Source organism: Homo sapiens, chromosome 18, assembly GCF_000001405.40.
Source record: "Homo sapiens chromosome 18, GRCh38.p14 Primary Assembly".
In the NCBI taxonomy this organism is placed as follows: domain Eukaryota; kingdom Metazoa; phylum Chordata; class Mammalia; order Primates; family Hominidae; genus Homo; species Homo sapiens.
Window position 1 is genome coordinate 25593052 of NC_000018.10, and position 3288 is coordinate 25596339.

At 37.2% G+C, this 3288-nt stretch overlaps 1 annotated feature.

Annotated features, from left to right (window-relative positions):
• Positions 1380-1580: a silencer, noted in NCBI's record as "peak3083 fragment used in MPRA reporter construct". NCBI's record gives its function as "represses an SCP1 promoter by STARR-seq MPRAs in K562 erythroleukemia cells {active_cell/tissue: K562}" and the evidence as "EXISTENCE:reporter gene assay evidence [ECO:0000049][PMID:32103011]".

The following is a 3288-nucleotide window of genomic DNA, read 5'->3' on the forward strand; positions in this document are numbered from 1 at the left end:
GCCTGATGCAGGACCCTAGGCCAAATGCTGTCCCTGGCCTTATTTTCCATTCCTAGTGTGTCATTTAACAATGTTTTTATTCCTTGCTATTTGATTTGAAGCCAAAATTCTGACGTGGCATCAGTTTTGCTGCCAGATAATGCATTAAACCTTACTAAGGGGTAAACATAATGATCTTCATTAAACCCTTTAAATGAACCCACCTCCTGCTTCTTCAGGTTGAGAAAAGCATTGACAGGGAATGTTGTGGAAGCGTCTTGGAGCTATTTTCTTCTTGTAACAAGGGGAGGGAGAGATGAGTGGCAGCTTTTAGGGGCAAAAAGAAAGTTAGGTAAACATAAAAGGTTTTGTAAGATTTCCTTTCCTAATGGCAAAGTTTTAGAGCAATGAATCACAATTCAGTCAATACCATTAGTTTTGGGGCATTATATACCCTCATTAAAGTGCATAAACAATTATATTTATTGAAGGTAATGTACTGTGTAGTGCATTATAACGAGACTCATTAACATATGTAATCATCATTTGAATGGGCTTTACTACAATGTAAACTGATAATGGCATGATTACACACTGGGTTATTAACTTTTCAGTCTTAAGATAATAAAAGGTGATGCAAAAAACCAAAAGCACATATGCATTGCCCTTCATTTGTGAGTTATGCATTTCCATACCAAATTCTAAGCTCAGGTACCCATGCTCAGAAGCTGTCTCTTCACTGCCTATTGTCTTGACAAAATACTAAATTCCATGCAGTGCTTTGAGGGTTGGGGCTATTTCAGACCTAATTATGAAGACAATTCTGTGAGTGACCCTATTTCTATCTTATATTGTGGCTTAATCTATCCATGCTTTGGTTTTCATAACTTTCTACCCTAGACCCTGTTAATATCACATGCTCTAAGAAAAATAAGAACTTCCTCCAAACCTTCTCTTTGAAAAATCTCATTTAAGAGTCATGTGGCTGATGATGGGGAAACATTGAGAAAACCCACAGTAAGGCACATTGTATGAAAAGTGACAAGGTCATGAAAGACAGAGTAAGGAAATGTTCTAGAGTCAAAGAGATGCGAAAGACAAAACAAAATGCAATGTATGACCTCAGATTGGATCCTGAGCCAGAATTTTCTTCTCTCTTTTGCTGTAAAGCTGTTTTTATTAGGACAATTGGAAAACTTTCAATAAGGTCTGTAAATCAGATAATGGCACCTTATTCTCAAATGAATCAGAAAAAACAATATTTTTTAGGCCTAATAAGAATAGTAATTATAATATAGATGAAAAGAGCAAATCGTGAAGTAAATGTGGTAAAAAGTTAACATAATATGGGTGAAGGATACTTAGGAATTCTTTGCACTATTTTTGCAACATTTGCTATGTCTGAAATTATTTCAAAATTAAAAAAGAGAGAGACATTTGGAATTTAAGAACTGACCATGAAAAGGCCATGACTGTAACTAAGCAGGTCTGGTGGTTGATGTTATCAGCGATGAGTCAGAATAATGATCAGGATCCCAGTACTCATGTAGGTTCTTTATCTCCTCTGTCAGTGAAAGTCCCAGATTTGATAGAACAGTTTTTAATTCCTTTCTTCCCAGCAATATTTATTTCCTGTATTTTAGGGTCAGGAATGACAAAAGGTTTGTGATACAAAAGGTAAAAGACATTGTACTTTTGTCACTTGGATTAAAAAGTTATAGCAGTAGCCACTTAAAATTCCCTCTGAACGATGACTTCACAACTAAGTTTGGAATCAGCATGAGAGCTAGACTCAAAAGAATGATTGACTTACATCTCTGTATAAGCCCTAAGGAACAGACTCCTGTCTTCATCTCAAATGAACTGCTGCATTCTCACTCCTAAGTGGCATCCAAACTTTAGTCATCAGATCCAGTGGAATAGGCATAAGTTTACCAACCACACTTATTTTGGGTTGGATGAAGTAAATAAAAACAAAATAAATTACCCAGAACACTGAGGAAGAACAAAGATAAAACTAAACTCAGAGGTTTCTGGTATTCGTTCTTTTTTTTCCATTAGACCACATAACCCGATGAGAGCAGTAATGTTGATATATTTTACATTTTTCTCTAGAATATATTTTCTTCAGTGTCTAATTTGCACCAAATTTCATGGAAATTGGGGAGTTCTATAGCTAAGAGCTACCCATTTTAAAGTACAATTATAAAAGCAGAACAGCCTGATCATCCTTACAAACTACAAAGCAAAATTAAGCAATACCTCTCTATAAACAAGAGGAAATGCATACTGTGTATGCATTTCTACATAGATAACTAGACTTGAAGACTACATCTGCTGGGTTAATGTTTTTATTAAATCATATTCATGTTGGCACAATCGTCTTTTCTCATTATAAACACTGAGCACTTTTATTTGCTACAGAGTATAGCTTTAAGACATTTTCAATTGACTGACAGCTGCCTGTCAACTTCTGACTCTGGAGAAATCCAGGAACTCAGCCTGTAAAGCTCCAGGGAGTTCTAGGGAGCTCCAACATGGTTAATGGCCGTCCATTAGCATAGGGCCCAGCAGAGCCCCGGAATCTGTTAAGTGGGAAGTTCTTGCTGTAGAAGGTCATATAATTCCCTGTTGCCATCTGAGAGAACTGGGAAAATTCAACTTGAAGCAAAGACTGGGGTGCTATAAGTTTATGTACTAAGGGAAATCATTTCATGCAGTTTGGTACTACTGTACACCATGTTTTATTTATATTCTATACTGGATGAGAAATTGAATACTATGCTCTTTTCTGGCAATGGAAACCTGCCTTATTCTCCTAAACTGGGCACGGCATCAATACAGCAGCTTGCAGCCTTTTTGACTATGTATTATAGAGTGGCTTCTGTGCATTATATATTAAATCCGATATGCACTGTGAGTTTATATGCCACACGCACTACATTTTTCTATATTACGTCCTGCAATCTATCATATTAAGTGAAAGGGGTGATGGAGTGGGCCTCAGGTAATGTAAAGAAGATTGCTAACAGCTTGCATGCTGCGTTGAGAGTAGGTAGGCATTTCTGCAGTGTACTCTGTGTATATATCAGGAGAGCACGCTGCAAACTGACCATGTAGAGAGTTCCACATCCCTGGCAATGGAATTAACCACCTGTACACTACTAAAATTACCTACCAGCCCCAAACAACATGCCAACCCCATTAACAAAGCCCAGCAAAGGTCAAGAAAGCCAAATAGTTCTTCCTAGAAGTGAGAATAAAAATGAGGTCTGGGCTGTCAAAGGAAAAGCAGGCTCTACTTAAAAG